A 26,912-nucleotide genomic window follows, 5' to 3' on the forward strand; every position below is an offset into this window, starting at 1 on the left:
TTTAAGTTTTATTTGCAGACAGAAACCAATTGGGACTGACCTGATTTTCTATGTTAATTAATCAAATATTGTTGTTCAAACATTTTGGTACCTCTCAGCTAAAAGAATTTAAAAGTCCTGTTACTTTAATCCTGTTGTGGAATGTTTTTTAAAACTTATAGCTAATTAACAATCTTCATGGGCAACTAGAGCACCTCAGGCTCTGGTAAACATAAGGGATCAATGGTTATTAATCAAAGGTGGTGTAGTTGGAAGAAGCCTGGAGTAGGAGGCAAGAGACCTAGGTTCTACTGCTTGCTTGAGCTGAACTGTGCTTCCTTAAGCTTCCATGAGAGTAGATACCTTCTAGCAAAAAAAAAAATAAGAGAGAGAGAGAGAGACTAGATACTTAAGGAAACATACATTTGTAAAAAGACTAAAACCAAAGTGATTAACTACTGTCTAAATATAATTCATTCCCAAAACAGGCAAGCAAACAAACAACAAAACAATCCTAACAATGTAGGTGTTTATGTACCTCCCATATAAAAAGGATCTGAAACCCTGAAGCCACAGGATTCAACCAGGCAAGTAGAGAATTATTTTCTTTATTTTAAAACAATACTAAAGTCATGCATAATTAATGCTGAAAAATTAGAAAATAAGGAAAAAGAAACTAATCAATGAATAAAATCAATTAAAACTCTACCACCCAGTAAAAACCACTGCTAGCATATCAGTGCTATATTCGTCCATAGATCCATATACATACATGATGCATGTATATTTCAAATGGGATCATGTTGTAGCCACTGTCCTGAAATCCTGAAATCTGCTTCTTTGAGCTAATGCCGTATTGTGAAGCAGCTTGCGTGCTAATAAATATGCATCTTCATCACCCATTGTAATGACTACATTATATTCCATTGTAGGCTTGAAAATATTAACAACTAACAAACCTAGTGCTTCCTCTGTGCCCAGCACTTTTCTAAGCACTGTAACAGCATGCCTGTGAGGTAGGTAGTATGATTACTCCTGTTTTACAGAGAAACTGAGTTAAGGAGAAGGTAATTAACTTGCCATTTGGGGTTCAACCCCAAATGGTCCAGGATCAGAGTCCAAGCTCTGAACACCTGGCCATGCTGCTCCTTGCCTCTTCCTTTTGGTTGGATCTTTATGTTATGTCTAATAGTTCATTATTTTAAACAGTGCAGGTTAATTTAAACCTCTACGTCCTCAAAAGAGTGGTGGTGGAGGGTGGAGGTAGAAGGGGAAGCATTGATAAGAGATGACTTTTTAATAAGAGAGTAACAGAGAGACATTCTTTTGGATAAAATCAGATTAGAAGGTGTTCATTCTCATGGTAAAAGTGAGAGCTCATAAAATCACTGTAGTTACTTAGGGGAGGGGGAATTTTCAGGCATGTGCAGAAGGCGTATTTGCAGGACTGTGAGACAGACAGATTTCACCAATTACATAGATCTACATGGAAGAAAATGTTAATAGCAACTGCGTAGTAGAAAAGAGTAGCCCTGCTAATGAAAATACAGAGTTAATTTTCTGTAGTCTGAACTTTGACCCATTGTGAAGACAGAAATAGAAGTCCTTGGCAATTAGAGTAGGAACTTGCTGTGAAGGAAGTGAACATTCATTTGAGACTGGGTGTGGTGGGAAATAAAGCAAATGATGACTCACAGACAGATCAGCGGACAAGGCGAGGCTAGGCCTGGGAGGAGCGAGGAGACCTGAACGAAGCTAGGCAGGCGCTTCTCTGTTCAGACTCACAAGGCGTCACTGGCTCACTCTGGACACAGAATATCTTTACTGATAGCTGCACATCATTATTATTTCATTTTACAAATTACACAACTGGCATATTCCCACTGTAGAATAGTTTTAAAGTGAGATGAATAAGAAGAAAGTAAAGTGAAATCCATCCATTACCTTAGACATTCTTAGATACCCATATTAAGAGTTGGCATATATTTTCACATTATTTTCCTATATACTTTTAAAATAAAGATGGGATTTTCACCACTCAACAATAAACATATAATTGCATCATTTTTCATATAATGGGATGCTATGTAGCCATTAGAAATGATAAAAATATGTTATTTGACCAAATAGTAATGGGCATTGTGCGTACATGGTCTTAACTAGCCAGTAACCATTTTTCCTTTGGTTCATGGAATTCATGAATTCTACAAAGTTAATCTTATATTGGGGTGATCTCATTGACTTTTAAGTGCCACTGCAGTTAAGTAAGAGTGGGGATGGGGTATGAACTTCAGGAGTGAAAAAAAACAAAAACAAAAACAAAACAAAATGCTTTATTACAATATCTTTTCCAAACTACTTTGGATGGCCCCGAGGAGGTCAGAAAAAGAGGAGAGCGATTATCATTAATCTTATTCCTCTCTTTACAGCCACATTAACCTGAAAGAACAAAAATGTAGAATACCTTCCTCATCTTCTCACTTTTTCTTTAACTCTCACATAGTAAGGAATCCAGAAGAATAAGGCTACAAAGCTACAGGCAAAACAGTAACAGGAATGGCAAGCATGTCCTGTTTGTGGACTAAAAACACAGAGCATTCCTTGGAAAGCCAAACTTTTGATATTGAGATTAGAAAGAGGTTTTCTAGGGCAGCACATGTCCAAGTATTAAACACAAGTCAGATCTTATGAAAGTCTAAGCAGGTCATAAAACAACCCAATGAGCTTAGAAGAGTGGAGAGCTATAGTTAGAGTGCCTGGACCCTTGATTATCTTATTTCCATGAGCTCTAATTAGCATAGTACAGAAGACATTAATGCAATCAGCCACAATTATTTATTGAGTTTCTACTATGTGTCAGATGGTTTTTTGGGTCGTGGGTATGTAATACCGAACAAAAGCATCATGGTGCCTACCCTCACAGAACTTATAAATTAGCAGCAGGGTGGGGAGTGGGGGGTGGTAAACAAGTGAACAGGTAGACAAATCATTCTAAAGAGGGACAAGATTCTAAATAGACATTTTTCCAAATAGGCTATTCAAATGGCTAATACCCACGTGGAAAGATCCTCAATTAGTCATAAGGGAAATACAAATCAAAACCACAATGAGATATTTCATCAAACACACAAGAAGGGCTATTATAAAAAAAGACAAACAACAACAAATGTTGGTGAGGATGTGGAGAAATTAGAACTCTTTTACACTGCTGATGGGATTGTAAAATGGTAGAGCCACTTTGGAAAGCAGTTTGACAGTTCCTCAAAAGTTTAAACACAGAGTTACCATATTGTTACCTTATGCAATAAAGAATTTGGGTCGAGCCCATAGGGTAAAGTGAAAGAAAGTAAAGGAATAAAAGAATGGCTACTCTATAGGAGTAGGATCACTCCATAGTAGTGGCATGAGCTGCCCGACTGAGTATACTTATGGTTATTTCTTGATCATATGCTAAACAAGGGGTGGATTATTCTTGAGGTTTCTGGGAAAGAGGTGGGCAATTCCTGGAAGTAAAGGCTCCTCCCATTTGTAGATCATTTAGGGTAACTTCTGGACATTGCCATGGCATTTGTAAACTGTCATGGTGCTGGTGGAAGTGCCTCTTAGCATGCCAACGCGTTATAACTAGTGTATAATGAGCAGTGAGGACAACCAGAGTTCACTTACGTTGCCACCTTGGTTTTGGTGGGTTTTGACCAGCTTCTTTACTGCAACCTGTTTTATCAGCAAGGTCTTATTGACCTGTATCTTCTGCTGACCTCCTATCTCACCCTGTGACTGAAAATGCCTAACCTACTGGGAATGCAGCCCAGCAGGTCTCAGCCTTATTTTACTCAGCCCCTATTCAAGATGGAGTCACTCCGGTTTGAACGTCTCTGACAATATGACCCTGCAAGTTCTGTCCTAAAGAAAATAAAAACATACATCCACACAAAAACTTGTACACAAATGTTCATAGCAGCATTATTGATAAAAGACAAGAAGTAGAAACAACCCAAATGCCCAGCAACAGATGAATGGATCAACAAAACATGAATAAATAAAATATACATATGGTGGAATATTATTCAACCATAAAAAGGATTGAATTATTGATACATGCTACAACATGGATCAACCTTGAAAGCATCATGCTAAGTGAAAGAAGTCAGTCACAAAATGCCAGAAATTGTATAATCCCATTTATAAGAGATGTCCAAAATAGGCAAATCCATAGAGACAGAAAGTAGGTTAATGGTTGCCAGGGACTGAGGGTATGGGGGAATGGGGCGAGACTGCTAATGGATATGGGGTTTTCTTTGGAGGTGATAAAAATGTTCTAAAGTTGATCGTGGTAACAGCTACACATCTTTGTGAATGTACTAACAGCCACTGAATTGTACACTTTAACAGGATCAATTGTACGACTCGTGAGTTATTCCTTAACAAAGCTGTAAAAAACAAAAGGTGATGAAGTGTGTTGAGGAAACAGAAAGAAGCCCTGAGACACGAAAGGGCCTTGTGTGCTCCAGGAATGAAAGAGGAGGCCCGTGTGATCGAATGCTCTAGAGGGCTCGGAGGGGACAGCGGATCTCGTGTTTAGGCACATGAAGTCAGTAATTATAGGCAGTTTGGGATTATGTTCAATGGGCAGTGGAAAGTCCTAGAAGCCTCTAACACCCAGCAGTTATGTGACCCAACTTTTATCTTTAATAGCTCTTTGTTCCTGAATTGTTAGGGCAGAACTAGATTGCTATTATAGCTCCTAAAACCAGATAGAGATCATTAACTTAAAAATTTGGAGTTAAAATTAGCAAGGGGCTATTTTCTTTTGATTTAGGACACATACTAGGAAAATGAGGATATCAAAATACTTCTTTCTTAATAGCACAAAAGAAGAGCCTTATTATAGTAAATAATGTAAGTTTTTCATTTTTTAAACCTAAGCATATTCTGTTGCTTCTATAGGACACAAGTTGAGAATTAAACCATTTATTCATGCTCAGTATCACATTTATATTACACATAGGTTCAGGTTTAATTGCATTTAAGAGAAGGAGGGAGTAGAAGATGTTTAGCAAAGGTCATGGTGGAGTGAGCCAAGGCATTCCTGTATGTCAAATGTGGGATCATTGGTCTATCCCCACAGGGCACAGGGGACCGGGAATTCTTCTGGCTTCTTGGTTGAAAATGTGAAGATGTTATTGGGACTAATGATTGAATTGTACAGATCTGGAGACTAATACTCCCAGATGAAAAGAGATGGGCTTTGCCAACCTCAGGGAGGGCAAGTAAACAGCTCAGGAAAACAAGGAGCAGAACTGTGCTGGAAGGCAGCTGAAGGCAGTGTGCTCAGCCTGGGACAGCAACTCAGAGCCCAGCAGTGGGGAGTGAACAAGCTCCAGTGTGGCACCTGCCAGGGGTCCCAAAAATGCCCAGGTCTCACTCCGTTACCTAGGCTGGAGTGTAGTGGTACAATCTCGGCTCATTGCAACCTCCGCCTTCTGGGCTCAAGAGATTCTCGTGCCTCAGTCTCCCGAGTAGCTGAGACTACCGGCACATGCCACCACGCCCAGCTAATTCTTGTATTTTTAGTAGAGACGGGGTTTCACCATGTTGGCCAGTCTGGTCTTGAACTCCTGACCTAAAGTGATCTACCCTCCTCAGCCTCCCAAAATGCTGGGATTACAGGCGTGAGCCACCACGCCTGGCCAGATGCCCAGGTTTTTGTGAACCCTTTCCAAGTTCTTCAACAGCGTGAGGCTTGTGAAACTTCTGGAAAAAATTTCCCTTCACTCCTGGCAGTGACATGAGCAAGACAAGAAACAAAATATAGGAAGAGTGGCGCTTAACAATTTTAGTAGAACATTCAGGTACACACATGTGTGCACATGCACACACACACACACGCCGCCCCCCCCGCCCCCCCCGCCCCCCACCACCCTGCGAAGCACCATGCTAGGGAATTCCAAATATGTTAGAACCTGGTGAAGAGAATCCATGGGGAGGAGAGAAGATTGGCGAGCCTGATTCTTCATAATTTAATTACCATTATCTTTGAATGCATTCCATTGCTTGATTGTATTATAATTTACTTAGTCTTGTAACTATAAACCTTCAGGTTTCTTTCAACTTTTTAGCATGACAATGTTGAAACATGTATCTATCTATCTACATCTCTGCTGGGACTAAAATCATGTGTCATATCATCTTTAAAAGAAGTCACCAAATTGCTGTCCAAAAACATTGAAGAACTTTATATGTCCATCAACAAGTGTATATAAATGTATCCTAACACCCTTGCCATTACTAGGTGTTATAAAATTTAAACTTTTTGGGCAACCCATAGTTTAGTATGATATCTCATTGTTATTTTGATTTTGATTTTGATTTTTCTTTTTTTCTTTTTGAGACCGGGTCTCGCTTCATCACCCAGGCTGAAGTGCAGTGATACAATCATAGCTCACCTCAGCCTCGACCTCCCAGGCTTAAGCGACCCTCCCACCTCAGCCTCCTGAGGAGCTGGGACCACAGGAACACACCACCATGCCCAGCTTTTTTTTTTTTTTTTTTGTAGAGACAGCATCTCACTATGTTCCCCCAGACTGGTCTCAAACTCCTGAGCTCAAGTGATCCTCCTGCCTCAGCCTCCCAAGATTTTTGATTCTTAAATTATAAGTCAGAATGAGTTCACTGGCCGTTTTTTTCCCCTCCCTTCCCTTCCAGAAACTTCCTGCTTGCCTGTTTTCTATTGGATTATCCATCTGTTCTTAATGATTTGTGTGAGCTCACTGTCATATCTGTTGCAGTATTTGCTCCAGTCTTTCGGTTTAGAAATAACGTTTTCTGAAATAAAGAAGTTTATATTTTTTATGTAGTTAGGTTTATAAATAATTCTCTTTATGGCTTCTGGATTTTATCTCTGGCCTAGAAGGCTGTTTTTTTCACCAAGATTAAAAATACATTCACTCCATAGAATTACCATATGATCCAGCAATTCCACTTTTAGGCACATGCCTTAAAAAATTGAAAACAGGAACTCAAACAGACACTTACACACCAATCTTCATAGCAGCACTGTTCACAATGTGCAAAAGGTAGAAATAATCCAAATGTCCACCAACAGATGAATGGATAAAATGTGGTCTATATACACAATGGGATATTGTTAATTGTTAAGCCTTACAAAGGAAGAAAGTACTGATCATGCTACAATATGGATGAACCTCAAAAACATTATGCTGAGTGAAAGAAGCCAGACACTCCTGACAAATATTTTACAATTCCACTTGTATGAAGTTCCTTGAATAGGAAAATTTATAGAGACAAAAAGTAGAATAATGGTTGCCTGGGGCTAAGGAGTAGGGGAATGGGGAATTGGTGTTTAATGGGGTCAGAGTTTCTTTTTTTATTTTTATTTTTTTGAGGCAGAGTCTCGCTCTGTTGCCCAAGCTAGAGTGCAGTGGCAGGATCTCAGCTCACCGCAACTTCTGCCTCCTGGGTTCAAGTGATTCTCATGTCTCACCCTCCAGAGTAGCTGAGATTACAGGTGCATGCCACCACATCTGGCTAATCTTTGTATTTTTAATAGAGATGGGGTTTCGCTATGTTGACTAGGCTGGTCCTGAACTCTGACCTCAAGTGATTTGCCCGCTTCAGTCTCCCAAAGTGCTGGTGTAAGCCACCGCGCCCGGCCTGAGAGTTTCTGTTGGGTATGATGAAAAATTCTGGAGATGAATAGTGCCGTGAATAGATTTAATGCCACTGAATTGTACACTTAAAAATTGTTAAAACTGTAAATTTTATGTTACGTGTATTTTATCACAATAAAACAATGGAATTAATTTAAAAATAAAATCACTCAAATTACTTTCTAGGCCTTTATATTTTATTTCCTATATTTAAATCTTCCCATTTCTGCATTTACTATTTTTATTTTCTATCTCTTCTTGACTCAATTAGGGTAAACATTTTCTCTTAGGAAAACATTCACTTCATTGAAATTTTAAAATTTATTTGCGTGAAATTATGGTAAATAACAATTAAAAAAATTTCTCTTTGCTTAATTATCTATTTTCATTCTTAATTCTGTACCTTCCCCATTTGTCTTGATGGGGCTAGCTAGCACCTTGTTTTATTTTATTACTTTTAAAAAGAGCCAGCTCTTCTGTTTCTTAGTTCTCTGGTTTTCCTGTTTTCTAATTTATTGGTTTCTGCTTTTACATTTATTAATTTCTTTCTTCTCTTTTCTTAGGTTAATTTTATGTTTCTTTTTATAAATTCTTGCGCTAAATGTGCAATTAACTAATTAACTAAAATTTTTAGTAAAGTAAGTGTTTAAATTCATAGCTTAAAGGTATAGAACAGCCATATTCCACACGTTTTGACATGTATTATTTTCGTTATTATTTTCTAGACATTCTAGTATTTTAGTTAATATTTTCATTTCAACACAAATGTACTTAAAAGGAGAATTTTCTTTTAAATCTCAGTGGTGGGTTTTTTTTCCCTCTTTTTGTAATTATTTTCTACTTTAATTTACTATGGGTACAGAATAGCCCTGTTTTCTTTTAATATTTGGGAAGCTGTTGAAGTTTACTTTTGTCACAGTGGGTGAAAAACATCCATTGTTTCCAAGAAGGTGTATTCCCTGTTACTGATTACTCAGTGCACTTACTTTCTCTGCATTATCTGAGTTGAGAAGAGTGAATTGAAGTGTGGTTTCGAATTGATTCTATTATTTATTTTAGTATCTGATATGGTTTGGCTCTCTGTCTCCACTCAAATCTCATATTGAATTGTAATCCCCAGTGTTGGGGGAGGAAACTGGTGGGAGGTGATTGGATCAGGGGGCAGACCTCCCGCCTTACTGTTCTCATGACAGTGAGTGAGTTTTCACGAGATCTGGTTGTTTAAAAGTATGTAGCACTTCCCCCTTGGCTCTCTGTCCTGATCCACCATATGAAGATGTGCCAGCTTCCCCTTTGCCTTCTGCCATGATTGTAAGTTTCCTGAGGCCACCCAGCCATGCTTCCTATAAAGCCTGCAGAACCATCAGCCAAGTAACTGTTTGAGTCCTTGTTTTCAATTCTTTTGGGTATAGAGCTAGGTGTGGAATTGCTGTGTCATATGGTAATTCCATGTTTAACTTTTTGAGGATCTGAGTTTCATTTTAGTGGTTTTTCTTTTTTCTTTTCTTTTCTTTTTTTTTTTTTGAGATGGAGTCTTGCTCTGTCACCCAGGCTGGAGTGTAGTGGCACGATCTCAGCTCACTGCAACCTCCACCTCCTGGGTTCAAGTGATTCTCGTGCCTCAGCCTCCCGAGTAGCTGGGACTACAGGCGCCCGCCACCACCCCCAGCTGATTTTTGTATTTTTAGTAGACACAGGGTTTCACCATATTGGCCAGACTGGTCTCGAACTCCTGACCTTGTGATCCACCCACCTCAGCCTCCCAAAGTGCTGGGATTACAGGCTTGAGCCACCGTACCCGGCTGTGGTTTTTCTTTTCTCCCATTCTATCACACTATTTCACAATAAGAACAAATAAAATAATCAGATAATGGAGAAGTTTCTCTATTTAATATCTCTACCTATCACCCCACTGAATGCCTTTAGTTCTACCAGGTATTCAAATGAATACATTTCATTTTATATCATTTATTTTCATTATTTTCGTTATATAACTCAACGTAGCAGTTTCTAAAGGGCCAGAGATTTGTCTTAAGTCAGCAAGCAGGAAAGTGGATGAGGGAAAACACAGGGCCTGGGTAACCTTCCCATTGCCTGTGACTAATCAAGAATCAGGGCTGGCTTCATGGGTGTGCAACTTACGCCATCACATAAGGCCCTGTGCTTAGAAGAGCCCTGCACTGAGAAGGGCCCCGTGCTCAGAAGGACCTGGTGCTGGGCTTAATGATCTGCTGTGACTGGTTTGAAAATCTTAATAATTTTTGAACAGGAGGCCTCACATTGTTATTTTGCACTGGGCCTCGAAAATTATGTAAACTCTATTAAGAAGTGATGGTATCTATCTATGCCCATCCTGTATCCTAAAAAACAAGTTGTAAATTCTAAAAACAAATTCTAAAATGGGAATAAAAAAAGATATGTCTACCACTCAAGGTGGAAGCGTTCCAAATGTGGGTGGATACTAAACAGAATAGTAATAGAATAACTGAAGTGTATTTAAAAACACAGACGACAGACCAAAGTCAGACAGAATTTTTACAAATGAATTTACTGTGTCTCCTATTGTTAGCCTGATAGAAGACTTCAAAAAGTCATTGCAGGAAACTGAGCTCAAGTAAGAACAAATAGCAAACACATTCCTTCTACTCTCCAAGAAAAAGTGGGGAGGTTTCAGTTCTTATGCCTTCAAGTAGAACTGAACGATGCTCCCCCCACCCCCGCCCCTCCGCCCGTGCTTGGAAGGGCCTGGTAAAATCAAGAGTAAAATGCAATCCCAAGAGATGAACTATAAAGAAAACATAATACTTTTGCAATAGCCTGCTAGGCTTTTCCATCATGTTTTGATTGCAGGAAAGATCAGGCTTTATGGGCTAAAGGAAAAATAAATGAGTTCGTGATAAGCCAAAATCCTGCCCTCCCCTTTCCAGTATCAGCAGGGAGTAGAGGTTCTGGGTTTTTCCTAAGATCAGAGGAAACATGTCTTAAATTCAGGGTGGAATCACAACTGGCCAAAAACCTCATCAAGGCCTTCTTATCTGCTCCATCTGCTGGCTCTGAGTAATCTTTAGCAATTGCTCAATGGTGACGTCTTTAAAGAAATCCTGCCAAGAGCACCCTTTCCCTAGCCTTTCCTTAGTTACAACAATCTACAAAAGACCAAGGGTGAACGTCTGGGTGGAAGAGCTGGCCACCTCTGTATTTGTTCCTTGCTACAAGTGGGTATGAGAAGTATCCTAGGAGACAGATTTTCCAGGACAATGATTAGCCAAACAGTCCTATCCAGAGGCCTTCCAATAAACCAGATTAGCTGTGATGTGATTATGTAATTATATGGCATGTTTCAAGGAGACACCGTAAACTACAATCAACAATTTGGCATCGCGCAGCAACTTGGGGTGTAACCTATTTCAGGAAGAGCCAAATTGGATACCAAAAATGGAAGGACTTGCTCTCATAGGGAAAGAATAGTGAAGGGAAGTGTTTGGTGATGGTGAAAAATATAACATATTTGGAATTTTTAATAAAGAGTTTCTTAGAAGCATCTTATAACATCTGTCCACATCCCTGATTCCCCTTTACAGCTCATGGCCTGAGTTAACATCTGTCCACATCCCTGATTCCCCTTTACAGCTCATGGCCTGAGTTAAAAAAAAAAAAAAAAAAAAAAAAAAAAAGACTTAGGTAGAAATAGCAGGGACTGGCTTACCTATCGTCTATGATTTTGTTGAGTTTTGTGGGAGGGAGACTCTCTAATATTGTTTTCCTCCACTCTCATTCTCCATGGTGCAAATCCCAGGTTGGCTTTTTGTGGGTTTTTTGTTGTTGTTGTTTTGTTTTAGTTTTTTAAAATGTATAATTGACACATAAAAATGGTTTTCACATAATCCTTCCTGCAACACAAAAGGCCCCAAGGGCACTTACCTAGCTTGCCTTCAGGGGTCAATTAATTCATGATGTGCCAGGTAGTCAGGTATACTCTATGGAGGAAAGCCTGTATCTTTGCATATCTAATTTATTTCCCAAGTTTAAAAAACAGTGCTGCTTTTGATCTGACTAGAATGGCTTGAACTGGATTCTGTTGGAAGTTAAAGTGGTATTATAATTGCTTTTTTACTTAACTGTCTACCCCAATGGAATGTACTCCTTGAGGGAAGGTATTACATGACAGTATATTGATCATTATGTTCCCAGGGTCCCAGGGTCAGGTATAATGCCTGGCACACAATAAGTGCTTCATAAGTATTTCTTGAGTGGTTGCTGGATGAGCAAAGCAGACAGAGACCCTTTGAAGACCTTTTATAGCTGAAGCATCTGTAAGCAAGTAAGAATAGTGGTTAGAGGCAGAGTTTATAGAACTGGACAACTTGGTCTTGAATCCTAACTCTGCCTCTTTCTACTGTGGCTAAATTATTTAACCTCTTCATACCTCAGTTTTACCATCTTTAAATTGGGTGTAATAATGAGATCTATCTTATAGCTCTGTGAAGATTAAAGGAGTTGAAATTGGAAATGGTAGGTGCTCAACTGTGTTAGTTTTATTTCTTAAAAAAGTGAACAGATGATCCTTTTCATGTCCTTGCAGCTTTGTTCCATGCCCACTGCTCCCCAAAAAATTAATCCTTGGGCAAAATATTTTATCATAATAAATTATTATATATCAAATCATCTCCCTTGTAATTGTTCCGTTATACAGGGCAAAAATCTTACAGGAAAAAGTGTCTCCAATCCACACTCAGTATGGCATGCTTACTAAATATACAACTGGCAAAAAAAAGTTGGTGGGGGAAGAGTGGGAGAAAATTTTGGAGCCATTTGAAGCTCTAAGTGACCTAAGCATTTGCACCATCTAATAAAATTTGATGAATCATTTTCAGTTATTAAACATAAAAAGGATTTGCTTATGCATGGCTATGTTTGAGCAGATTTGGTTGATACCTCATACTTTCCATTAATTATAAACTATAAAATGGGAACAAAATGAGAACAGTGAGTTAAGGCTTTTTTTTATTTTCTTTTTTTTTTTGAGATGGAGTCTTGCTTTGTCGTCCAGGCTGGAGTGCAGTGGCGTGATCTCGGCTCACTACAACCTCTGCCTCCCGGGTTCAAGTGATTCTCCTGCCTCAGCCTCCTGAGTAGCTGGGATTACAGGCGCCCGCCACACCTGGCTAATTTTTGTATTTTTAGTAGAGACGGGGTTTCACCACGTTAACCAGGCTGGTCTCGAACTCCTGACCTCAGGTGATCAGCCCACCTTGGAATCCCGAAATGCTGGGATTATAGGCATGAGTCATTGCGCCCAGTCAGAGTTAAGGCGTTTTAAAAATAAAATTTCTGACATCTCTACCACTTAAGAAAATGTCTGCCACCATCCTTGTGGAAGGTTTGAAAAATTATAAATATGCCAAGTGGATCTTTATCCATTCTTCCAAGCATTCCTCTTATGCTGCTGGGATGGTTTGACTCTAATTATACTGGAAGTTCAAGTTCAAAAAAAGTTTAAGGGGGAAATGTGTGGCTGTGAGCTGACTTCTATGAAGCAACCTGGATTAGGATGCCAGTGAAAGAGGACCTGGGGGTTGGTTGGTGAGTGTGGCTGAAACTTCTCTGATATAAATCCATTCATTTGTGTGCCCTGAGGTGTGGGCACTCCTGGGGGCTCTGAGATGCCAGGCAATGGTCACTCCTGACTTCCAGTCACCAATACCAGCTTGTCCTCGTGGTTAATCTCCTATTCCCTTTCTACATATGTCATCAGACTCCTCAAACAGTTCTTAAACAGCAATATAGTATTACCAAATGAGGAAAGAAAAGGATAAGAAGCAACATATACAAAATGGTCTCAATTGTTTAAAAAACACACATAGGCCAGGTGTGGTGACTCCCGCCTGTAATCCCAGCACTTTGGGAGGCTGAGGTAAATTGCTTAAGCCCAGGAATTCAAGACCACTGTGGCAGCCTGGGCAACATAGCAAGACACCTGTATTTACTAAAAACAAAACAAAACAAAAAACACACACACTGGGGAATGAGATTGGAAGAAAGGACACTAAATGTTAGCAGAGTTTATACTGGGCTTTTAATTTGTAGCTGATTTATATTTTTTCCTTTATGCTTGCCTGTGTTTTCTAAAATGTTTATAATAGACCTATGCTGCTATAATCATAGAACAAGGAATTAAGGGCCAGATGTGGTTGAGTCACGCCTGTAATCCCAGCACTTTGAGAGGCCAAGGTGGGCAGGTCACCTGAGGTCAGGAGTTCGAAACCAGCCTGGCCAACATAGTGAAACCCCATCTCTACTGAAAATACAAAAATCAGTTGGGCCTGGTCATGGGCGCCTGTAATCCCAGCCACTCAAGAGACTGAGGCAGGAGAATTGCTTGAACTCAGGAGGCAGAAGTTGCAGTGAGCCAAGATTGTGCCACTGCACTCTGGCCTGGGCAACAGAGTAAGACTCCATCTCAAAAATAAAATAAAATCTATTTAGAAAAATATCCATATGACATGGTGAGAACTGGCTGGGCAAGTGCTCCACATGGCCAGTTTGCAGCCACGTGTAAGAGGCGATATCTTGTGAAAGCTGATTATACAAATTGGGTCATTCTTGTCATGCCCAACTAAATCAGCATCAAGGGCCAGGGGGAAAAAGAACTTGGGGAACATAGCCCCTGCTCCAAGAATTGAATTTTCTACAAGCCCAGCTGCTGAAACAGCCAGCTGAAACCTGAAGAGCAGTTTTACCTAGCAGCTGCTGAAGCAACCTGCTGTGACTCCAAGCCTGGTTTTACCTACCACAGTCACTCACTGTATTCGTCCATTTCGTGTTGCTAAAAAGGAATACCTGAGGCCGAGTAATTTATAAAGAAAAGTTTATTGGGCTCATGGTTTTGCAGGCTGTACAAGCATGGCACCAGCATCTGCTTGGCTTCTGGTGAGGCCTCAGGAAGCTTTTACTCATGGCAGAAGACAAAGAGGGAACAGACATGTCACATGGCAAGAGAGAGAGAGAGAAGGAGGGCATAGTCTCTCTAACAACCAGATGTTGCTGGAACTAACTGAGTGAAAACTTGCTCATCACCAAGGGGATGACACCAAGCCATTTATGAGGGATCTGCCCCCTATGACCCAAATACCTCCCACCAGACCCCACCTCTAACATTGGGGATCACAATTCAACACAAGATTTGGAGGAGACAAACACCCAGACATCCACTCACCAATCAGAGCTTGCCAGCTCCCAAAAGCTTCTCTAGTGCCAATAAGCTTTCTTTCAAAATGATAATGTAACATTAGCATCTCTTTTTCTAATAAAACTCACAACCTTCTCTTTGTTCTTCAGACATACCGAAGACCACCCAGTCTGTGTGTATGCCCCAAACTGCAATCCCTGCTTCCCAAAATAAAATGTTAAATTTAGAGATTCATCTCTATACTTTATTTTGGCTTTGACAATCTGATTGAGAGAAAACTCAGCTGCCTCTCAGACAAGCCCAAAAGTATTACCAAATGAGGGAAAAAAAGATAAAGAGTTTCTTACAAGCTTCTATAACATCTGTCCATATCCCTGATTACCCTTTACAGCTCATGGGCTCAGTTAAAAACGACAACAGAAAAAGACTTGAGGTAGAAATAGCAGGGACAGGGTCACCTGCCAAAAAGTCCTTACATCACACCCTGCTCCTAAGAGTTCTGCCTCTTTACTTACTGGTAGTTTCCTGATAACATGTCCCCAGTCCTCCTCCATAGGTGACAACTGGGCTGCAATTGGAGCTCAGAGCAGAACTCACCAGGAAGGAAGCAGTGTGTGTTTCACAGTCCACTGTTGAGCTAATTATTCCCAGAGGCCTACGGGACTACACAGGCTTATATTGACCATTGTCAGCAGTCAGTGCCTCCCTTTTTTGAATTGTACATTGCTGGTTAACTCTGTAAGTTAAGAAGGGAGAGTATCCATTTCTTCACCTGCTGACCCAGAGCAATTTCCTTTCTTCAAGAAAAGGGAGAAGGTTATGATTTCATAAAAGCTGCCACTTCTCTTTGGATGGAAGACTAGATTTGCTACAGACATTTTCACCTTGTTATGAATTTGTCTGTTTGCTTTTGCTTTGGGAAATGGTATTTAGTGGGCAAAAGAATAGCTTATTTTTGAAGCACCAATGTGGAAAACAATAGTTAAAATATTAATATCTGTTGAAGAATCCATCAAAGGGTATACCATTTATACAAACGATAATGACTTCGGAAAATATGGCTTCAAAGGGATTGTTATTTTTTGTTTATAACCTAAAGAAAATCCCTATCTAGCAAGAGGAATTCCAATTACTTCATATATTTCTTTTTTTTCCCTCTTCTTCTTCTTTTTTTTTTTTTTTTTTTTTTTTTTTTTTGAGACAGGGTCTCTCTGTTCCCCAAGCTGGAGTGCAGTGGCACTATCACAGCTAACTACAGCCTCGACCTCATGGGCTCAAGCAATCCTCCCACGTCAGCCTCCCTAGTAACTGGGACTACAGGCACACATCACTATGCCTGGCTAAATTTTTTTTTATTTTTTGTAGATACAGGGTTTCACCATGTTGCCCAGGCTGGTCTCAAGCTCCTGGACTCAAGTGATCCACTGACCTCAGCCTCCCAAAGTGCTGGGATTATAGGTGTGAATTCCACGCCCGGTCATACTCCACAGATTTCCGATCTGACTTAAGAGCCCTCTTCCCCATCTGCTCTGCTGTGCTCTACCATTATTTCTTGTCTAGGCTTATATCATGTGATCTCCAAGGTCTCCCTTTGACTAAAGCAATTTGTGTATGTGTCTTGTCTTCCCTACTCAATTAGAAGCTCGTCAGGGGCAAGTGAACATACTGTTCCATTTGTCTAAGGTCCACATTGCTTATCTCAGTTCCTGCCACATATTAGTAGCACAATCAGTTCTTACCAAACAAATGAATCTTAAATATATTCATTGGTCATTTATTCCTTCATTCAGTTAGTCACTCAACAGATATTGTTTGAGCACAACTATACGCCAGTCATGTTCAAGGTGCTGAAGATACAAACTTAAACAAATGAGGCTGAGATCCCCATCCTTAGGAAACATATTCTATTCAGTTTGACCTGTTACTGTGAAAACCTTTAATCTCCTTGTTTAAGGGTCTAATTGCTGATTTCTGGTAGTTCATCTGAAAGGCGGTAGGAGTATATATTTTTTGTGGCCTTTCCTTTTTCCAAGGATGTGTTCAGGATCAGGAAGCAAATAAAGCCTTTAAAGAAAACCTATGAGTTCAAAATTTGCCCCAGAACATTGTGTGGCTAAAGGTACAGCCCCAGATAGATCCCTCCCTCATTGAGGAGTTGGGGCCCCGTGCATAATCTGAAAGGGAGGGGGTGAAACAAAAGGATGTAACTCACCTGTTATCGGGGGAACCCACCCCCGATAATTCAACGTGGGTCCTTTTCTATTTTCCCTAAGTATTTCTCGGCCAGTCCGAGAAATAAAGGGAAAGAGTACAAAAGAGAGAAATTTTAAAGCTGGTTGTCCGGGGGAGACATCACATGTCGGCAGGTTCCATGATGCCCAATGAGCTGCAAAACCAGCAAGTTTTTATTAGTGATTTTCAAAAAGGAAGAGAGTGTACAAATAGGGTGTGGGTCACAGAGATCACATGCTTCATAAGGTAACAAAATATTACAAGGCAAATGGAGGCAGGGCGAGATCACAGGACTGGGGCAAAATTAAAATTGCTAATGAAGTTTCGGGCACGCATTGTCATTGATAACATCTTATCAGGAGACAGGGTTTGAGAGCAGACAACTGGTCTGACCAAAATTTATTAGGTGGGAATTTCCTCATCCTAATAAGCCTGGGAGTGCTACGGGAGACCGGGGCTTATTTCAACTCTTATCAGCAACTGTAAAAGACAGACGTTCCCAGAGCGGCCATTTCAGAGACCTCCCCCTAAGAAAAAGAATTCAGTGATATTTCTCCTATTTGTTTTTGAAAGGAGAGAAATATGGCTCTGTTCTGCCTGGCTCTCAGGCAGCCAGACCTAATGGTTATCTCCCTTGTTCCCTGAACATCGCTGTTATCCTGTTCTTTTTTCAAGGTGCCCAGATTTCATATTGTTTAAACAATTTGTGCAGTTAATGCAATCATCACAGGGTCATGAGGTGACATACATCCTCAGCTTATGAAGATGATGGGATTAAGAGATTAAAGTAAAGACAGGCATAGGAAATCACAAGAATATTGATTGGGGAAGTGATAAATGTCCATGAAATCTTCACAATTTATGTTCTTCTGCCGTGGCTTCAGCTGGTCCCTCCGTTCAGGGTCCCTGAGTTCCCGCAACAACCTGTGATAAAAGACACCCTTGAGTCACCCTCTCCCCCCTCTTCCTAAAGTTAAGAATTTAGGAACTCTGTGGACTTAGAAAATGAGGAGCCAGGATAAAGCTGTCTGTGTGAATTGAATGGTAGCTGGTCATTCCAGAGGTGTTCAGAAACCTAGATATGACCTAGGAGGAAGGAGACCCACAGTACCTGAGCCTAGGGTGGAGTTGGGAGCAAGAAGAGGCAGGCAACCTCTGGAAAGTGGAAAGTAATCCACTGGGAATTCTCATAAATTTTAGGATGAGTGCAAGGCTTCCTAGAGCCTGTGTGATTGAGCCCTAAGCTGTTTTATCTAAACGTGAAAGGAAAGCCTGGGCCTGGAAAGCTGGAGTGCATGGAGAATTCAGATTATTCTTCAGTCTCAACCTTCTTTTCCACGCTAAGGAGAGCAGTTCATTGGCAGCTCTGTATAGGATGCCAAACATGTTTATCTGGTGGGTCTTCATGTTGCCTCACTTCCAGAAAATCTAAGAACTTTAAAAGACCGGCACGTTGTATACATGTACCCTAGAACTTAAAGTATATAAAAAAAAAACCCTCTAATAGTAGAAGGATCTCATTTTAAAAACTTTTACTCATAGTTGGGAACAAACTTTCCCTATATTAAAAGGAGACAGAACATCAATCTGAGTGTACACAATGCAAAATTCTGAACCAATTCCTGTTTTGTGGAACTGTTTTCTGGATATATTATATGCAGTGGACAGGTAGGTCCTTGTAGCCCACTGTTTTCTCTGAGGGATCCAGAACTAATTCCAGGAAAAAGCAGAAAGACTCTCAAGCTTATGGTTTTGATGCCTCCTTTGCCCATGAAGAAGATGCTATTTTCCATCAGCAATCTATTTGCATGAGCCACTTTGTATGTACAAACTAAAAATGAACAACATTGACCAAAACTCTCAGCAGTGGGGGCAATGTGATGAATGGATGATGACTCTTTCTCTCTCCCAGCCTTATCACCAAACCCCTCCATTTCAACGCTCAAAAAAGTAACTAAAACAAGGGAAACCCAAGGTTTCACAAAAATGACAAATTCAATTTGATTAGAACAAACTCCCGCTTTCCTCAAAGGTATATGCTCCTGCACCGTTCTGGCTTTGAAATTGAACTTTGGGAATAAAGGTTTGAAAGATCACCTTGGTTTTGGGGGGACCCATGTGGCAAATTACCTCTCCTCTATTTCTGTAAAAAATGAGGATTCAGAGAAAACTTGGAACCCCAAAACTTCCCTCTAAAAATGTAAACTTCTGCTGAAGAGGATGTCATGTTTACGACAATAACAACAACCAAAGCAGGTCATTGTGATGACAGGCGGGTTAGTCACATGCCTGTTCACATTCCATCTGCAGCTTAGACTCTAAAACCCTTTGGCTTAACGTCTCCCCTTTGGAGGCTGAAAAACAAATAGAATAATGGAGAACATTTAGCTCCAGAGGATTTAGTAATCTTTTCATCCATTTGATTTATAAAACTGATTGGAAGGAATGGAGAAGCTTCTCTTGTTGTTACCATTTAGCTCTTTACCTTGATGCTCTATTTTGCTCCCTTAAAGCTTTTAATGGTCCCAGATAAATCAGAGCTTTCACATCACCCTGCCACTTTCTGCAATCTGAATACTCTGTGTCCTAATCTAGGATCGAACAAGTTTAAAAGATCATTTGCTTTTGAACGCGGTTTGCTGAGTCTTTCTACCCTCCATGGAGATCTTCTGCATTGAAAAATTCACAATTCTGGTTCAGCTTGAACTTGGGTTTTCCAAAAGTTTCCACTGGACTCCTTAAGGATGAAAAGAGGAAAGTCTTAGAGACAAGACAGAAGGCAGGCGCTAAGGCCAGCCAGAGCGAAAAAGATTTCTAGGAGTTAGCAGCCAAATAAAACAACGGCAAACAAAACAAACCCAGGCTGCCCTTTCCTCTGCTCTGCAGGCTCTTATCTGTTGGTGAACTCAGCCGCCTCAGTCTAGAATACTCAGCCCCAGCGTCACTGAGAAGGCTGAGTTTGTGCCTGTCCGTCCCAGGTACCTCTCAGCACCCTGCACAGTCTTTGTTCCAGCACATTCCTCATAGTTTTGTAACTATTTGTCCACTGGTCTGTCACCACTAACATCTAGCACCCTCTCGTCTAGTCTGTGTTCCTTGTGTATATTCCTAACTAGTACTAGTGTGTTAACTAGTAGATAAATTCTACCAGAATTTAAATTCTTATTCTCATAGGACAGGGATTTTCGACCTCAGCTCTTTTGACATTTGGGGCCAGATCATTCTTTAGGTGTGGGCTGTCTTATGTATTGTGGGATGTTTAGCAGCAGCCCTGGCCTCGGCCTACTGGACGCCAGGAGCACCCCCCACCCCCCAAATTGCTGCAGTGGAAAATGTTTCCGGGCTTTGCCAAATGTCCCCTGTGGAGCAAAATCTGCGCCGTCCCCCCAAACCTCTTGAGAACCACTGCTGCAGAGTAATACGAAAAATATGGGTTGAATGATTTAGTCCACATGGTCTCTAATCACAGGGACTCTCCAAAGCTATCAAAATTGTCCCTTATTTTTATTTTTTAGAAGAAAGCATCAACGTTTTACTGATGTAACCACCAGCTTCTACTTTAGACACATATTTTAAAATCACATTAAAACCAAAGTTTTTTGTTTGTTTGTTTTTATTTTTGTTTTTGTTTTGTTTTGTTTTTTAAAGTATCCCTGAGAGGTAGGTTTACTTAGCAGGGTCTCTAGGGTAGTAGTTAAGAGCATAGAGTGTGGAACCAACTGCTTCAGTTTAAAATCCAGTTCTACCATAAACCACCTGCATGATCTTGGGGAAGTTACCTAACCTCTCTGTGTGAAATCCTCAGCTATGTAATGATCCAAGTAATCTAAATTATAATGTAGAATAATAATAATACTGCCTGCTGAATAGGGTTGTTGAAAGGGTTAATATTTGAGTTAATATTTGAAAAGCTCTTAGAACAGTTCCCAGCACAAAGTAAGCAAGATATAAACATTAGCTCCAAGCCAAGAAGTACAGGGTTTTCAAAAAGTCTCTAAATTCAAGCACATTTGTTTAGAACTATTTGGAAGCCTTATGTTTCTGCTGCCAAAGGGATCAGAGTAGACCCTGCAATATGTACAAAACATCTCTATACTTCCAACATTTTGGAACTGAATTATAAATTTCCAGTCAGCTCTGTAACTTTCTATTCTTAAGACTTTACTTTCCTTCCGTTGTGACTTCAACTACTCAATGTAGAAAGTAAGAAATACAATGAGTCTCAGAAATAAAATGGGAAATCTCATTGCCTATTGTATGTGCTAGTCAGTGTTTCACACTTAACTACTAGAGGCAAACACAATGGAAACCAGTTGGCTGCCATTTTGATAACACATTCAAGTTTATTTGTGTTCTCTGGGCCATTCATCTCTAGGGAATTTCTCTTTGTTTATTCTTCTTCCCTTTTTGTGTACAAAAAAAGAATTTAAAATATGTTATGCCTTTGTCCTCACTGTGTAGTGGTGTTTAGACTAGCATCTGTGATAATAACAGTATTTGTTGCCATTCTTCAACATTGTATTTTGGAGGCAGCATGGTGTGGGGATGAGGACATGGCTTTGGGGCTCTATTTCCAGTTTTACAACTAACTAGATATGTCACCTTGGGTGAGGCACTTAATTTCTCAATGGCTGTTTCTCCACGTGTATGGTAAAACTGATGTTACTACTCTCATCAGAGAGTTTTAGTGAGACTGAAAGGAAAGTTCATCTTCAGAAGTCGGCACAGAGCAAGACTCATGGTTGAGGTTCTGTAGATATTAGCCATTACCATTCCTAATATCTCACAACCACAGTGGAGGTAATAATTTTTCAAGCAGTTTTATGCTTATTGTCTCATTTGACGAGAGTATTGTTCAAAAAGTAGGGGAAGGTGATTTTAATGAACTGAATATTTATGTCCCTCCCAAATTCACATATTGAAATCCTAACATCCAATGTGATGGTATTAGCAGGTAGGGCCTTTGGGAGGAAATTAGGTCATGAGGGTAGAGACCTCATGAATGAGACGTGTGCCCTTATAAAAGAAACCCCAGGAAGTTGTCTTACCCTCTTTCCTCCTGAAGAAGGATCTCACCAGAATCCAGTCATGTTGGCACCCTGATCTTGGACTTACAGCCTCCCGAACGATGAGAAATAATTTTTTGTTGTCGTTGTTTAAGAAGCCCGTTCTATGGTATTTTGTTATAGCAGCCTGAACTAAGACAGTGAATTTAGCCGCACATTAAAGAGAAGATGACCAAGGCAAAAAGATGGTGAGAAATTTGCCCAAGGTCACCAGTGACTTAGCATCAGTTCAATCTGGAACTGGATCCCCAAGACCCCAAGTCTCATGCACTTTTTTCCACCAGTGCTTCTCAAAAATTAATGTATACTCAGACAATCTGGGAATCCTGTTAAAACACAGATTCTGATTCAGCCAGTCTGGGGGAGGTGCTGAAATTCTGAATTTCTAACAAGCTCTGAGAAGGCGCCAATGCTGCTCGTTCATGGAACCCACTTGGAACAGTGAGGGTCTATAACTGGTTTCATCAACCTCTGGAACTTATGATTCCTTGAAGCTAAACTTTCATCAGAGTTCGAAGAAAAAAAAAGTGTGCAAAAAAAAAAATCACAAAACATATAATGAGATAACTCCCAAAGTTATTATAATCTCACTACTGTGAAGTTACAAGGGAGTTTATTACCAAAATACCCATCGAACTTCAAAGTGTCAGTACAAACAGGCAACCCTCAATTTTGCCAAGGCCTACAATCAATGAAAAGTTTCTATTCTGTTGCCTGATTGGAGGTCCTGCTGGGAGACACAAAAGTCCCTTCCCTCCTTCCCTTCATTTAGCACCAGGGAGTTCATTACCAATGGGGGCTCCATGCAAAAGAACATTTCTCTATCTTCTGAAAATTGATTGCTCCCTCTCTCTGTACATTTGTTTTTCATTTACACAGATATTTCAGCTATTTTTGATTTGTGGTGTAACCTAGGTAACCTAAATCAGCTAAAATAAGAACTAATTCCAACCTCCAGATCAAATGGCAAACCACACCTGAGCTTTGCACAGATCAAGTAGCAGAAGGAATAGCGAGGTTTTTGTGAGGAGGGCTGCCTTCTTTGATCTGATGTGGCCCGGACAGCATGGGAGCCGGTGCAGATGTGTAAGAGAGGCTCAAGTGCCACTTTGGAAGATTCACCAAGAAGAGTGCATTCTTCTCTCTTCTGGTTTCTCCATATTGTTCTTTTGGGTGTTCACTTTCAGATTCTGCTGGCCTTTGCATATTAGAGAAGAGGTTGGCAAACTTTGTCTGTAAAGGGTCAGCCAGTAAATATTTTCGGCTTTGAAGGCCACATACACGGTCTCTGTCACAACTACTCAACTGTGCCCTTTGAGCTCAAAAGCAGCCACAGACAATATGTAAACAATTGGGCATGGCTATGTTCCAAATAAACTTTATTCATGGACACTGAAATCCTAATTTCAATTAATTTTCATTTGTCATGAAATATTATTTTCCTTTTGATTTTTTTTCACCATTTAAAAATGTAAAAACCACTCTGCTTGCAGGCTGTATAAAACCAGGCGGCAGGCCGGAGGACTTGGCTCACAGGCCATAGTTTGTCTACCGTTATACATATTAGAGTCATACAAGTACAGCCAAATGCAACATTCTCATAAAACATAATGTTAAAAATCAGATGGAGAATAGACCTCCAGATTTCCTGCGTTTATGATGACAGCTTTACAGGAAACCAAAACTGTGTGCTGGGGACTGTTCTGGGTATTCTGCAAATGTTTTTTCGTGTTTGTCTTTGGTATATAATACATTCTCATTTCCTAGGGCTGTTTAGTTTGTGAATGTGAAACTGTCGACTTCCTGTGTCAACTTCAAGTAGCTAAGTTTTCCTATTTGTTTGAATTCCTGTAGTGGACCCTCATCTTATATTTATTTATTTTGGCTCCAAAGACTGACCATATTCATAGTAAGAGTTTGGCAATGTAAGTAGTCATTTTCTGCAAAGAAATATATTCTGACCGAATCATTTCACTGAAACCTCCTAAACCATGAACTTTTATTCTAGAACTAATAAGTGTTTGTGGCAAAGTTCTTTAGCCCTTTGGCTTGTACATTTTATGGCTACAAAAAGGTAGTTGGAATTTTTTTTTTTCGTGAAGGAATTTCATGCATAGCCCAGGACTGTTTTAAGTGTAGAATTTATCTTTGCAACATGCATCTTCAACATGCATGTATGCTTTCTGAGTATGTGCAATTATTCTACTTTTGTGTTAGATGTTCTAAGCTTTTGTGTCTTTCTTGTCACATCATATACAGATTCCTTTCAACCATTACCTTATACATACCCTTTAACTTCAATAGCTTTAGCTGTAGGAATGTCTGTAAAGTCACAAAATTAATTTTCTCCAAACACCACATTCATTTATCCCTCCCCTTAGTGGCACGAACTTAACACAAGGCACACGAGCTTTCAGACTTGAGATTCTTTTTTTATGACTTCTTTAAACCATCATCTAATTGTTGATCTGACAGATTGCATACTCAGAGTAAGTTTATTAACCAGAGCATCTTTTTTGATACCATAAAATTAATTTATTTCTGCCCCAAGAGTGCATTTTGGGAGTGGGTTAGTAAGAAACATCTGAATCATAATCATTTTTGGAACATCCCTTGTACTCCATAAAAATAACATTGATTCAGAACCACTCCCAATTCTCTGCTCCTTCAGGAGACAGGATAGTGGAATTGATTAGCGCTCAGCTGCTGAATGCTGAAGGACGCCCACAGGCCTGGAAAAGACTTGGCTAGGCCTCTGCCAATACCCCTGACGGAAGAAGGGAACATTGGTCGGCTCCCTTTCAGATAATGTGCTTGGGTTTTGCCGTACCTTTGAAAAGACATTGAGACATAAAGGCTTTGTCAGAAGAGGAGGAGGATGCAGGAGGGTGAAGGCTGCAGCCTTGGCCCAGCTGAAGTGCCCCACACAAATTTTCAGATCTCTGACATCTGTGTTTCCTCTGGCCTGACCTTTTCCTAGTCCTTCCCTGGCTTAAGGGGTAGCAGTCCCAAGAATACAAGCCTATGTCACAACACCCTGCATGATCAAGGACGTCCCTGGGTGGCCTAACAATAAAAGCACAGCATTCTGGAGGAAAGAACAAAAAATGGACAAGAAGAATGCCAAATAAGCAAATCTGCAATGTCATAAGGGTCAAGGTAGTCAATGTCTGTTTTATTGCCAATTCACAGAACAGAAAAAAATGTAGCTTTAAAACGATAACAACAACAATAAAAGCATATCCACTGGCACATCTTCCTTGTTTTCAGTGATTAATGCTTTGAAGAAAGTTGATTGGAAGAGAAACACAGTCATCTTAAAATACAGACATGTGCTTTTTTGCTTATAAGCAACTGTAGCTCAGAACTCCAATCACTTCTGTTTTGCCCTTCAAATTTCCATCCGTGGTAGACATGTCAAGAAGGAACACCCCATTATTCTCAATTAGCTGCCCTCCTGGAGGAGGTAGGTACACACACGATGCAAAAGTCATTTCTGTTTGACTCAAGATTAATTATTATTGTTATTATTATTATTATTATTATTTTGACACAGAGTCTCGCTCTGTTGCCTAGGCTGGAGTGCAGTGACACACACAATCTTGGCTTACTGCGACTTCTGCCTCCTGAATTCGTGATTCTCCTGCTTCAGCCTCCCAAGTAGCTGGGATTACAGACATATGCCACCATGTATTTTTAGTAGAGACAGGGTTTGCCATATTGGCCAGGCTGGTCTCGAACTCCTGGCCTCCTGCTATCTTTCTGCCTCGGTCTCCCAAAGTGCTGGGATTACAGGCGTGAGCCACCGCGCCTGGCCACCTCAAGATTAATTACATGGTGTCAGTTGCACTAGATGTACCCTTCTGATCTTTGGATGATGCTTGCGTTAGACTAATGTTAGGTGCACTGCTATTCCCTGAGCACACCTTCTGATGAAATGCACCCAAACCCAAAGTTCCCAGAGCTGTCCCATTACAGCTTGAGGAACTTTCCATTGCTATGACCAGAGGAGCAGCAAGATTTCTTCTCTAAAGACCGTGCCCAGGAATCATGTGCTTTCCCATTTGCTTTTTTTGAGGTAACAACCCTTATTCCCACGATGTGTCAACTGAAGCAGAAATCAGTGGACAAGTTTGGTCATTTGTCAAAACTGCACAAAGCTCTTTATTCTAGTGCAGGGTTCTCAGCACTATTGACATCTTGTGCTGGATCATTCTTTGCTGGGGCCAGGGGACTGTCCTGTGTGCTGTAGGATGTTTAGTAGCATCCCTGGCCTTCACCCACTAGATGCCAGAAGCACTCTCCGCCCCTGCCCCCTGTCATTTATGACAACTAAAATTGTCATGGAACATTGCCAATGCCCCCTGGGGGCAAAGTTGCTCCTGATTGAGCACCACTGCTCTGGTATGAGAGAATTGTGGGGGTACACAGGGCAGCCAATCTTATTTATTGCAGTTCGGCTCAGTTTGAATCACCAGTCATTCTTTTCCAGACCTTTGAAGTACAGGACAGGCAGTCATGCAAGGTAAACCGCCATCCCTATGAAGAAAGCGACCCTCCCTTATCTCTAGCTCCTAGTCTGGTGATTAGTTGAATTACATTTTTTTTTTTTTTGCCTGTGAATTTTCTCTTTCCACTGTGCACTTAAAGTCTAGGAACTGTTGACTCACTTTTCTTGGTAACTGGGACACTTTGGCTTCAGATTCCCTCAGTTTCAGATGCCAATTTCCATTTCATACACAAATGTCTTAACTCAAGGGTGCCCCAAGAATCTTG

At 40.4% G+C, this 26,912-nt stretch overlaps 1 annotated feature.

Moving 5' to 3' along the window:
• Positions 2,609 to 2,903: a silencer, noted in NCBI's record as "tiled region #14622; HepG2 Repressive non-DNase unmatched - State 24:Quies, and K562 Repressive non-DNase unmatched - State 7:EnhWF". NCBI's record gives its function as "represses a minimal TATA promoter and a strong SV40 promoter by Sharpr-MPRA in HepG2 and K562 cells {active_cell/tissue: HepG2 | K562}" and the evidence as "EXISTENCE:reporter gene assay evidence [ECO:0000049][PMID:27701403]".

Source organism: Homo sapiens, chromosome X (genome assembly GCF_000001405.40).
Source record: "Homo sapiens chromosome X, GRCh38.p14 Primary Assembly".
NCBI classification, from domain to species: domain Eukaryota; kingdom Metazoa; phylum Chordata; class Mammalia; order Primates; family Hominidae; genus Homo; species Homo sapiens.